The following is a 13206-nucleotide window of genomic DNA, read 5'->3' as shown; positions in this document are numbered from 1 at the left end:
TTGCCAAATTCAGAGGCTTTTTCTTCTGCTTAGTTCCTGTCCTCTCAGGAGCGTTAGAACTGTTAGAACGGTTGACTATCCTATGTGACAAGCCAGGCTTTGCCTCTCACCTCACAAGTTGAAGCAAATTATTGATCTTTTCTTTGCCTGTTTCCTCTTCTGTAAAATGGAATTGTGGCTTTTAGTTTTTATTTCTGTCAAAGTTTTACATGCATATAGTTTCAAGAATCATACAGTTTTACAAGGCTTCTTAGGACAACCCAAAATTTCCCCTATTTCCCTTTCCAAGAACATCTGCCTTCAACATCAGGTGAGGAGGAGGGGAGTTTAGAGAGTAAGGGTTGGCAATGAGTGTCTCAGAGAGAAAGAACCTCTGAAATCAACATGTGGAAATGTGTTGGAGAGTGAATGAATGAAGTTTGATTAATTTTCAGGATTAACAGGCAATAGCAAAGGCTTGGTCAGTCATCAGGCTAATATTATAAGTAAAATTATGTCCTTAAATGAAAATAGGCTTTGATGAGATGGAAGTGGAGATCCAAACTGTTAAAACAGAGGAAGACCAAGACCCCAGAACAGACAAAGCCCATAAGGAGACAGAAAATGAGAAACCAGAAAGAAGCCGAGAGTCTACCATTCATACAGCTCATCAATTCCTCATGGACACGATCTTCCAGGTAGTAAAACTCACAAATTACTGCATTAATATAGTGTTAATAAATTAACAAAATAAAATTTTAAACTGGTTTTAAATCTTTGTCTTTAGAACTTTATGGAACATCTGGTTGTTGAGGGGTTTCATGTTCTTATTCAAAATTTTTAGGAATACTATTGGTATGATAGGTGTTCTTCAAGCACGTGATACTGTTCCAGCAATTAATCACAGGGTCACAGTGCCCTGACCTGTCTGTGATGGTGGGTCTGGTCCTTGGCCTCTGGGACTCACATCCCACTTTTCTAACCATCCTTGTGTAAGGAATCTTCAGGACAATTAGGTTTGTGATGGTTAAGTAAAAAATCTTTGGCTTAGTGCCTGTATTTATGAAGAGCTATTTAATTAAGTTCTTGAGCTAAGAGTTTGACTTATTTGATTAATCAGATAACATTTTCATTATTGATGACTTAAGGGTGTTTGGGTTTTGTTTTGCTACAGTGGCTTTATAAATGTTTAAAGTTTTCTTTATCCATATTGTCTCTCTAAGAGGGAAGCAGAATGCTTGTCTGGCATCTTCTCATTGTGCCACTGTATTTGCTGAATTAAGTTTTGAATCTCAGGAGCATTTGACTATGTACTTTGAGTTCATACTGTAGGGCGGAAGACACCCAGTGATACTAAGTTGGTGATTCCAACCTGGGCCACCTCTTATCTATGGCTTTTTCTTTTTAGCCCTTTTTAAAAGATGTCAATGAGCTAAGACAGGAGCTGGAGAGACAGCTGGAAATGTGGCAGCCACGTGAATCTGGAAACCCAGAGGAGGTAAGTCACTGCTCACTGTTTTTTTCATAAAATATCTCGACTTTTTTTTTGTTTGTTCAACATATAGCAAACTTAATAGGTTCTTAGCAATTACCTTAACAAAAAGGACCAGGCATATGGAGAATATAATTACAATCCTAAAGCCTACAGATCTGTCCATCAGTTTCTGGCTGCTTTGCTGTTAGATCTATAGCTTAATTAAAACAGAAATTGGTGTGCTTAATTCCTTTAATTTCTGTTGCTGGCTCTGTAATGGATGTTAATAGTTGTGACAGTGGTTGAAAAACCGGGCAAGAGTCTATGCTGTGCCATCCTAAGAAGAGGCCAGCTAGATCACTGCTGGCTGACTTAACGTGGTAGTGTGGATTAACCAGCAGTCTTATTTTTAATGACTTTGCATCTGAAATTTACTGTATTATATACACATTTCACTTTTATATCTATTGTCATAATCACTCCCACCACATATATGTATTCAGTGCTCTGCCATAGTTGGCAGAAAAATCATGGGGCTTTGTGTTGAGTGTGTTGCTGGAGGGATTTGCCCTTAGCATTTTTACTTTTTTTCATTTTTTTGAGATGGAGTCTTGCTCTCTTGCCCCGGCTGGAGTGCAGTGGCGCAATCTCGGCTCACTGCAAGCTCTGCCTCCCGGGTTCAAGTGATTCTCGTGCCTCAGCCTCCCAAGTAGCTGGGATTACAGGCACTTGCCACCACGCCCGACTAATTTTTTTGTATTTTAGTAGAGACGGGGTTTCACCATGTTGGCCAGGCTGGTCTCAAACTTCAGGTGATCCACCCGCCTTGGCCTCCCAAAGTGCTGATTACGGGCCAACTTTTTTCTTTTTCTTTTTTTTTTTTTTTTTTTTGAGACGGAATCTCGCTCTGTCACCCAGGCTGGAGTGCTGTGGCGCGATCTTGACCCACTGCAACCTCCGCCTCCTGGGTTCAAGCGATTCTCCTGCCTCAGCCTCCTGAGTAGCTGGGATTACAGGTGCCTGCCCCCATGCCCAGCTAATTTTCTGTATTTTTTTTTTTTTTGTAGAGACAGGGTTTCACCATGTCGGCCAGGCTGGTCTCGAACTCCTGGTCTCAAGTGATCCACCCGCCTCGGCCTCCCAAAGTGCTGGGATTACCAGGCATTAGCCACCACCCTCAGCTGGAAGGAGAGACATTTTTAATCAAGTAAATTACATGGTAGCTTGCTGGGAGAAGATTTAAAGTGCTTCTGTTGAGAAAGTTCATGCAGGTCATTTTCTACCACTTTGCTTAAAGCCTGCATCTTGCTAGAAGACTTGGTTGGCTCTGACATTCTGAGGGTAACTTACATTTTGTTGTTGTCACAGGAGAAGGTTGCAGCTGAGATGTGGCAGAGTTACCTGATCTTAACAGCGCCTCTTTCACAACGGTTATGTGAAGAGCTTCGTCTCATATTAGAGCCTACCCAGGCAGCCAAGCTGAAGTAAGTCTTCCCCTCTGGAAGGCCTCACAGTGCCCTGAGAAGACGGCAGCTTCATTGATTCTGTTGAACGCGGCACCTAACCATTTATAGTGCCAGCTTCTAGGCTGCCGCTTGTGCCGTACAGGCACCAGTATGCTGTTCCTTACCCTGTTTTCCTATTATTGTCTCTGCACAAAAGTTTCTGGGTGTCTGTATTGATCACCTTGTTACATGTTGAGCTATTCACTTGCTATAGGTGTTACTCACCTAGATCTTTTCAAAGATGTCCAAAATCATTCCTATTTAGTGCATTTTTTCCTAATTTTTAAAAATGTGTCTGGAAGGACCTAATTATTATTGCCACATACGTGTCCAGTTTTTCTGGCTAGAGGTCAAGAAGATCCTTAGTCGTCAATTGACAGAAACACTTCATTGTGCCAGGTTCCTAGTTACTTGCTATTGGTTTTAAGGTATTATTGTGATTTTTGTCCTTAATAAAAATTCTCAGGAATTAAAAGTTGTTAACTAATTTTTGCCCCCATTTGAATAAATAGAGGAGACTATCGAACTGGGAAACGACTAAACATACGGAAAGTCATTCCATACATTGCTAGTCAATTTCGGAAAGACAAGATTTGGCTTCGAAGGACCAAGCCCAGTAAACGCCAGTATCAGATTTGTTTGGCTATCGATGACTCTTCTAGTATGGTAGACAATCATACCAAGCAGGTAAGGAAGAGAAATGCAGTGGCAGTTTGATAGGAAATTAACATCAAGCTATGTTCCATGGGCCACCAAAATGCTTTAAATATGATATGGCTAATGCTTTAAATATGATATGGCTAAAACATTTTGAAATACCTGTTAGGCCTGTTTTGAGAATGTGATAACCATCTTTGATAAGACCTAAGATTTAAAGAGTTCAAAAGGGCAATTTTAGGATGTCTCAGATGTGTTAGTTTCTTACTGTTGTAGGTCTTTTACATTGTTTTGTTTCTTGACCTTGCTGTTTGTTCTTAACTGTCTAGTTGCAGAATAAGTAAATCTGATAGTGCTTGTTTTGCAGAAAATGCAACAGTGTACTCTTAAAAAAAAAATCAAAGTTTTCAGATATTACTGCATAGTCTTAGATAGTTTAGGTAGGTATCTAGGATACATTTCTTTTATATCTGAAATTATCCAGAGTTATTGTTCTATCAGTGCTAATATTAAGTTTAGGAGCCTTAATAGAATTACTTATACCACCATTACAGATGCCAAAGAGTGTTTGTTTTGGGCAGTGATGCTGTTATACAGCATGGGCTAATAAGCAACCTAAAATTTGTATGTTCTGCTGGAAAAAGTTAGTGTAGCCTCTGAACCTGGGTTCATATCCCAGCTCCATTTATTAACACATGACTTTGGGCAACTTATTTCTTAGTTATCAGTTTCACCTTCTGAAAAGTGAGGAATATATATATTTACAAGCACACATAGAATAGTAATAACCTCATACTTGCAGAATTGTTATGAAGATTAAATGAAATAATAGATGTAGAACACTCAGTTTGCTGCTGCTTTTGTCATATTGCAAATGGTAATGAAATTTTCTGATATAGTTCTACAGTCTGATCTGACTACATATATATGAATGGATTTTAAATTGGTTTTTAAAATTTTTTACCTACAAGAGGTTACTCTTCATGTAGGTCCAAAAAAGAAGAAAGAAAAATTCATGGACCATATTTCTCAAGGTCACTTTCTTTCTTTTTTTTTTTTTTTTTAAAGACAGGGTCTTGCTCTGTTGCTTAGGCTGGAGTGCAGTGGCATGATCATAGCTCACTGTGGCCTCAACCTTCTGGGCTTAAGCAGTACAGTCCTCCCACTTCAGCCTCCTGAGTAGCTGGGACCATAGGTGTGTGTCACCATGCCCGGCTAAATTGTTTTTTTTTTTTTTTTTGAAGACAGGGTTACAGGGTTTCACTCTGTTGCCCAGGTGGCTCACTGTAGCCTCAACTTTCCTGGGCTCAGGTGATCCTCCTACCTCAGCCTCCCAAGTAGCTGGGACCACAGATGTGGGGTCTTGCTGTGTTGCCTGGGCTACTCTTGAATTCCTGGACTCAAGTGATCCTCCCTCCTTGGCCTCCCAAAGTGCTGGGATTACAGGTGTGAGCTACCACGCCTGGCCCTCAAGGTCACTTTTTATTCGATGTCTACAGCAGACCATTCCTATCAGTGTAATGGATTCTAGGTTTCAACATTTGTGGTACCAGGCCACCAAAGCCTTTGGGTTTGTTGTGACTATAGTAGCCTTACTGATGTTATTCCTCTACTTGCCAAACAAAAAAATGTTTTCTTTGGGAATCTTGATGCAAAAAATAGTTGAGAGGCTCTGGTTTAGAGGATATTCTGATTCCTAAAATCATTAACTTTCTAATTCACAGCTTGCATTTGAATCTTTGGCTGTGATTGGAAATGCTCTAACCCTCCTGGAAGTGGGTCAGATTGCAGTGTGTAGGTAAGGTTGCTTTGTAATTCCTTTATGAAAACTTTTCACAACCTGTTTGGTTATTTTGATCACACAGCCAAAAAATAACTCCTGTTGTATTTGGTTTTCCTCCCCCAAGTTTTGGAGAATCTGTAAAGCTGTTACACCCATTTCATGAGCAGTTCAGTGATTACTCTGGGTCCCAGATTCTACGTCTCTGCAAATTCCAACAAAAGAAAACCAAGATTGCTCAGGTAAGAGGATGAAATAAAATGTCTTCTGCACAGTTATTTTTAAACTGGTGTAGGTTGGAGGGAGAACATTTTTATTTTTGAGACAGGACCTTGTTCTGTCACCCAGGCTAGAGTACAATGGCGCCATCATAGCTCACTATAGCTTCGAACTCCCGGGCTCAAGCAGTCCTCCTGCCTCAGCCTCCCTAGTAGCTAGGACTACAGGCGCATGCTACCATGTCTGGCTAATTTTTATTTTTTGTAGGGACAGGGTCTCACTTTGTTGCCCAGGCTGGTCTAAAATTCCTGGGTTCAAGTGATCCTCCCTTCTTGGCCTCCCGAAGTGTTGGGATTACCACCATGCTGGGCTGAGAACCACCCTCCACCGCATACAGTATTAGGACAGGGATAGTCCCAAACCTCAGCCTGTGTACCACTGGAATAGAAGCTTCCTTAGCATCCATTATAAAACAAGGTGTGACTTCTTTTTCTCAGTTCCTCAAGGATCACTTGACTTTGCATCATTGGTTTTCTAGCTCCCTACTTTTTTTTCCGAGTAGTTTGGAACATTCTGCAAAAACAAACCCATCTCCCATACCCTTATCAGCTGGGCCAAGACCTATTTTTCTCCCTCATTAAGCTTAGAGAAGAAATGATATGAAGTAAAGCCAGTGACTTACTTAAGAGAACAAAAGTTCAAAACAGCATGGGATCATATTTCTCCTGGGTCCTGCTCTGATTCAGTTTGCTTTTTCTAGGCTGCCCTGGACATTTTGTATTTTCTTGCCTTCTCTTTTGCTCAGTTGTTTTCTGTTCTTGAAAGAAGACAGCTGTTTGGTTTATTTGAGGGAGTATTGATTTCTTATGCCCCAGGGAAGCACTTCTTTTCCTTTGGGGTATCTTCCAGAACTCTAGTGGGTTATATGTTAGAGAAACGTCTCACCTGTGCTTGAGAATGCCTGTATCATCTAGGCATGGTGGCTCACACTTGTAATCCCAGCACTTTGGGAGGTTGAGGTGTGAGGACCGCTTGAGGCCAGGTGTTCAAAACCAGCCTTGTCAACATAGTGAGACCTCATTTCTACAAAAGACAAAAATAATTATCCAGGTGTGGTGGCACATACCTGTAGTGCTAGTTACTTGGCGGCAGGCTGAGGCAGAGCCCAGGAATCGAGGCTGCAGTGAGATGAGATCGTGCCACTACACTCCAGCCTGGGTGACACAGTGAGACCCTCTCTCAAAAAATAATAATTAAAAAACAGAATGTCTGTATCCAAGGATCCTCCTTTTTTAACTACATACGGCCAGAAGGGACAGTTAGTTGATGGTCTGTAAACCTGAGGTGGTTATCTGATAATCACTTCAATGTCAGAAATACTATCAGTCTCTTTGACAATGAGAAGAGCATTCACATAGTTTTCTAATTGTCTATTCCTGGTTCCGGTTTAGTTTCTAGAGTCTGTTGCCAACATGTTTGCAGCTGCTCAGCAGCTCTCGCAGAACATCAGTTCAGGTGAGCTGCATGCCTTCCTCTTCATTAACAAAATGCTTTCTTGTACTCTATATTCCCAAGCTGCTTGCTTCAGCTCAGTGTCCCCGTCACTGTGTTTTAATAGGTATGCTCCACAGGAAAAGACATAAATTGATGGAGCTGATTTTTACTTATTTATTCATTCATTCAGAAATTTTTGTTGAACCTGTACTCATGAGGCTTATAATCAATGGGGGATCTAGACACTAACTAGTATATACTTACTTGAGTTCAGATTTATAAGAGAAAGGAGCAAGGTGTGTGTGGAATTAAATATAAAGGCTACAATTAACCCTTGAATACCACAGGTTTGTCTGTACAGATCAGGTCTACTTACACATGGAGTTTTTCCAACCAAAAGTGGATTGAAAATTCAGCATTTGAGGGATGCAAAACCCGAGTATATGGAGGGCCAACTTTTCATGTATGCGGGTTCTCCAGGGCCATCTCTGGACTTGAATATGTGTGTATTCTGGTATACTGGGGGTGAGGGGGTGTGTGTCCTGAAACCAGCCCCCTGCAAGTACTGTATTCTCTAATATTTTAATAACAGAGGAAAGTAGAGAAGGACATAATATAAAAACCAGCTAATCCAACCACATTTACTTTGGGGGCTTGAAACATGCCAATTATTTAGTTCTTTTCCAAAAATCTCTCACTGTTCTCAGTGTATCATGCAGAAGCTTCAGATTTTGATGGAAGCAAGTTATTCACACCTGTCAACATTTGCTAAAACAGCCCACCCTCAACTCATGTACTATATAATCTTTAGCTGGAAACACTATGTAGCAAAAATTTTAAAACATTTTATTCAGTGTTGAGTGTTTCCTTTCTATTTGTTTTTGTTTAAACAAGTCAAATTTCAAGGGCAAAAAAATATAGAAATTAGGTACAAGGAATTAACAGAAATCTAAAGATGATTATATGTAACGACTGAAATTTGGAAGACACAGTTCCAGATTTCTGATTTGGCCACTTTCTTCTAATGCCCTTCTCAGTACTATCATTTTTAAAGTTTATAGCCATAAACTAGTGTTTTAATTCTCATGTACAGTATGTTGCTCTACAATTTGAAGTTGAGCAGAACTTAACATTTCTTGAAGCACTATTGAGAAATTCTTCTATACTGACAGAAGCTTACTTAGTATCCCTTATTATGCCTTGTCTCTGACTCAAGCATTCTAAGGGATAGATCTCATCAGAGGTCCCTTAGGTTTGTGCCCAGAATTCATCAGCTTTAGAGGTCTGTTTAGCTTTAATAGTACAGAGAAAGCCTACACTAATTTGTCCTACTTTGGGTAGTTGTGAGTTATTAAAAATGGCTGTTCATTTTATTCCCTTGCTTCGTCTTATATGGTCTACAGAAACTGCACAACTCCTCCTGGTAGTCTCTGATGGGCGAGGCCTTTTCCTTGAGGGCAAAGAAAGAGTCCTGGCAGCAGTTCAGGCTGCCCGGAATGCAAATATCTTTGTCATCTTTGTTGTATTGGACAATCCCAGTTCACGGGTGAGTGACTACTAAAAGCCACCTTTTCTGGAGGTAAAGTGGGGATTCCCTTCAACCTGTTCAATCTGAAATATGGCCTGGATCACTCAGTCATACTGAGAACTCCCAGCATTCATAGTATTCTGTCAAGTACCATTGTAGGCACTTGTAAGTATTTTCTCTATTAATCTTTGCAATAAGCCAGTGAGGTAGGGATCATTATTCCCACTTTACACTGAAGGAACTGAAACACATAGAGGTTATAGGTAATGAGTGGGAGAGCCAAGATTCAGAATGACCATCCTCTGTGGGTCATCATTTCCCTCTATGCAAAGTCAGTGCAGGTATTGCAGCCTTGATAATGGGTACTGACCACTTTGAAATGGAGATTAGGTGTTGCCACACTTAACTTATGTCTCAGTAGCTCCTCACAGCAAGAAGCATCAATCATCTTAGTGAAATATGCCTATAGGGCAGTTCTGTTCCAGGGAAGCATTGTCTCTGTGGGTCACATTAAGGCCTTGATAGGAAGGTAAAGATTTAGTGTGAATGATTCCAAGTGGATGATGGGGAGACACCACTGTAGGGAAAGCAGATTTTCCTGTCTATCCCTTTTCCTTTTTTTCAGTGTCCATCCTCCTGGAAGGGGCACTCAGAAAGACATCTACCTCCTTCTTAGTAGAGTTCTGAAAATTCTCTTTTACTTAGTAATAAAAGGTAGGTTCATATGCAGGAATAAGACACAGGAGATGTAAAAGTTAGCAAAAGAGATCACAGAAGAGCTAGCTAAGGATGCTGGTTTAATCGCTGCCTCCCCATTTCAAAATGTCTTTTGTTGACAGGATTCTATCTTGGACATTAAAGTACCGATATTTAAAGGACCTGGAGAGATGCCTGAAATCCGATCCTACATGGAAGAGTTCCCATTCCCATACTATATCATTCTTCGAGATGTAAACGCACTTCCTGAGACACTCAGCGATGCCCTCAGACAGTGGTTTGAGTTGGTGACAGCCTCTGACCACCCATAGAACAGAAAGAAGAGTCCAAAGTGAGACTTAACTGTGGTCAGAAGGTCACATTGCTTACCCAGGTGCTCCCTTTTGGACAACTACAAAAAATTTTATTGTAATATTTTTATTTTACAACGTGATCTTACAGCCTACAGAATGCTCTCTGGCTCCCGGCTTTGCCTGGGCTGAGGTTTTTATACCAAACCTGGAAGCAGCAGCAGGTGCCTGAACTCGTAACTAGAGAAGAGTTATCCTTCTTCCCTGCCTTGGAAGCCCTGGCCTGGGAGGAGGTCATACCCCACCGTTGGAGCCCAGCTGCCTGTTTTCTTTTGCAGGGGATCTGGGCACCTGTGCCTTGAGGAGATGCTGCCAGGAGCATGGGACTCTGACAGTCCTTTGTATAAAGGACTAAAGGGAGCTGCCCTTTTGACCCTGTTCTAAGCTCTGCCTTGCCAAGCCCATAGTGTGTGCCCAAAAGCTGTCAAGTGGCCAAGACAGCTCGTTTCTGGAGAGTATGAGGGTGTGTTTTCTTATTGTGAAAGGAACTACCTTCTCTTAGAGGGTAGGAAGAATGTGGTGTGTGTGTGTTCTCATAAAGCAACTGGACATTATAGGTGCCCAGGTCATCTATAAAAACGATCCTTGGGCTGTGTAAAAATGAAGTGGCTTTTCAGTATCCTCTTTCACACTTGCTGCTTCGGGAGACTATGCAATGATGGGAAGGTGATTGCCCCTTTATTTCATTCAGTGCCATGGTCCCTGTTGTTGTAGTAATTTATTTGTTTAGTTCATTTTTTTTTTTCTTAACAGTCAAGGGGAAGAGTGATTCCTCACACTGCTTTCAAGCTGGACTGAGCCAGTCTCATTCTGGGAAAGAAACGCTGTGTCCAGAACTCAGCAGCTCCATCTATTTTTTCCAGTCGAAAGAAACTGATCTTTAGGCAGTTTTTACTTGGCCAGAAAGCAGTGCTGAATACTTGAAACTGTGTGCTCTGTTCTACTTAATGTTCTGTCAGAATGTTCTTTTGTAGGCAGTATGTCATGATGTAATCATCTATCTCCTTGTCTGTTTCCAAGTTACACTGTGAAGTCTGCGACCCTTTTGAGGTGGTCATCAAAGACACAGATTCCTTGTTTAACCAAGTGTCCCAAAGCATGTACCTGAAGTTATATCATTTTTTATTCTAAAAAGCTATGCAGCTTATATTCTGAAAACTATTAAAACATATACCACTGTTGTTGATGTAATTTGTGACTCTTCTTAATGGAAGATGACAGGATTGTAAAAGGTATGCTAGGGGACTGATCTTCTCTGCTGGATCAGTCAGTCAGCTGTTACTAGTTGATGCTGTGCTAACATGATCCCCTCCTACTTCCATGTTGCTCTTACTACAAAGGTTATCATTTGCATTTATGTCCATGGTAGGCTGAGCTATAATATGCTGGCTTTGCAGCAGAATGAAAAGGATGAGTTGGTGTAGCCTTATAAGGAGGCTTATAAAAATTAATTATCCTCCATAAATGATGATGTTGCATCCCACTCACATTTCATTGGCTAAAGCCCTCTATGGGGCAGGGAGTTTAATCTTCCAGTAGGGTTGAGTCTGGGAGGGAAAGACACCAATATTATGACAATGCTGCAGTCTATTACATCTGCCTTTGGAAGCTCCATCTTTCTTAGACCTCAAACTGGTGTGCCCAGAGTGATTCCCTTGGCCCTGGGTTAGCTCATGAGATCATGGACAGTAGGAATTCCAGGAAGCAGGAACCCAAGAGTGCCATTTTCAACTTGTGCTGCCAACAGGGGCTTGCAGGAGTAGTGATCAATTAATCTGCCATGTTGATAGTTGACATTTGTGCTATCCTGCCCACCCCCCCCTCCCCCAACCCCCCAGGCCTTGGCCAAATAGGTAAGTAAGTAAGTTCTGATATTTAAGGAATGGACAGCAGAACACAAAAGTCCTCCATGCTGTCTTAAAAATCTCACTTTGGGGCTGGGTGCAGTGGCTCACGCCTATAATCCCAGCACTTTGGGAGGCCAAGGTGGGTGGATCACTTAAGGTTAGGAGTTAGTTTGAGACCAGGCTGGCCCATATGGTGAAACCCCATCTCTACTAAAAATACAGAAAATTAGCTGGGTGTGGTGACGCGCACCTGTAATCCCAAGCTACTTGGGAGGCTGAGGCAGGAGAACTGCTTGAACCAGGAGGTGGAGGTTGCAGTGAACTGAGATTGTGCCACTGCACTCCAGCCTGGGCAACAGAGCAAGACTCTATCTCAACAACAACAATAAAATCTCACTTTGGATAACTTCTTCACCACTCCCGTGGCCTCCACCATCACTGAAGCAAAAGGACTGTAAAATTCTCCATCCAGGGGTCCAGGAAATCTACTCTTTGGTATTCTTAATTATATTCAGACATCTGCTGGATGTCACTGTGTTCTAATTCCCCTATTCCAAACCCATTCCTTCAACATTCCCCATCTGGGATGACCACTCCAACAGCCACCCTGTTTACAAACTTGGGACTTAACCTATACATCTGCTTTACTTCCTTCTCCATCTCTATCCATACCCCAATCAAATTAATTAATCATCTTGTCCAGTCAGGCTTCTGGATATCCTGTCCCATCCCTCCCCCTCCCCCTACTGCACTGTGACTGGGACTCTTTTAATCTCTAGCAGGGACTACTTCAATGGTATCCTGGCCAGGCCAGTAACTTCTCTTTGCTTGCTTCACTTCATCCTATTCACAACATCCAAGATCTTTCTAAAAGTTCTGTAGCTGAAAATCCCTTCAAAGCTCTCCCTTGTGAAGAGGGTAATATTCAAGCTTCTTCATGTGACCTGTGAGGCTCTTGCTTGACTCTCCTGTCCCTCCTCTCCCAGCATTCCTGCCAGTGTTTCCATGTGTTGTCTGGAATCCTCTTAGTGATTCTGCGTTTCTGACAAATACCTAGCTCAGACAAGCCCTCCAGGAAGAATAATTTCCCACAGTATGAACTGCAGCATTCTTTGTTAGCACTATATTGAACTTAGAGGTTTTCCTGCCCAAAGCATGAGTCTTTGAGCAAGGAGCATATGTGACTCACGACAGCATTACCAGTGTCTAGCAAGAGTGAGCCCTTTTTTTTTTTTTTTTTTTTTTTTAAATAGAGCTTTGCTCTTGTTGCCCAGGCTGGAGTGCAATGGCGCAATCTCGGCTCACTGCAACCTCCGTCTCCCAGGTTCAAGCGATTCTCCTGCCTGAGCCTCCCAAGTAGCTGGGACCACAGGCGTGCGCCACCAGGCCCGGCTAATTTTTTGTATTTTAGTAGAGACGAGGTTTCACCATGTTGGCCAGGCTGGTCTCGAACTCCTGACCTCAGGTGATCCACCTCGGTATCCCAAAGTGTTGGGATTATAGGCATGAGCCACCGCACCTGGCCTGAGTGTTTCTTGATGGGAAGAAGAAATAATGTAAAAATGTCTTTCTCACATATTAATGTATAGATTCAACACTACTTCAAAATTCCAACCAAGATCACAAGATGATTTGGAGGGAAATGATACAAAACAT

The 13206-nt window shown here is 41.8% G+C and overlaps 1 protein-coding gene and 1 long non-coding RNA gene across 2 annotated transcripts in view; one reads left to right on the top strand and one right to left on the bottom strand.

Moving 5' to 3' along the window:
• MDN1 (midasin AAA ATPase 1) overlaps positions 1-11171 on the top strand; it is a 177297-nt gene extending 166126 nt beyond the window's left edge. The window contains exons 94-102 of the mRNA NM_014611.3: positions 514-677; positions 1388-1477; positions 2822-2937; positions 3471-3645; positions 5340-5413; positions 5523-5637; positions 7066-7129; positions 8512-8654; positions 9476-11171. Coding sequence (NP_055426.1) covers positions 514-677; positions 1388-1477; positions 2822-2937; positions 3471-3645; positions 5340-5413; positions 5523-5637; positions 7066-7129; positions 8512-8654; positions 9476-9664 — 1130 coding nt within the window. The 3' untranslated portion in view covers positions 9665-11171. The remainder of the gene's footprint in view (positions 1-513; positions 678-1387; positions 1478-2821; positions 2938-3470; positions 3646-5339; positions 5414-5522; positions 5638-7065; positions 7130-8511; positions 8655-9475) is intronic.
• Positions 1-13206, bottom strand: part of MDN1-AS1 (MDN1 antisense RNA 1) — a 50950-nt gene that overhangs the window by 35813 nt on the left and 1931 nt on the right. The gene's annotated exons all lie outside the window — the stretch shown is intronic.

This window comes from Homo sapiens, chromosome 6 (genome assembly GCF_000001405.40).
Source record: "Homo sapiens chromosome 6, GRCh38.p14 Primary Assembly".
In the NCBI taxonomy this organism is placed as follows: domain Eukaryota; kingdom Metazoa; phylum Chordata; class Mammalia; order Primates; family Hominidae; genus Homo; species Homo sapiens.
This window is presented reverse-complemented; position numbering and strand designations above follow the sequence as displayed.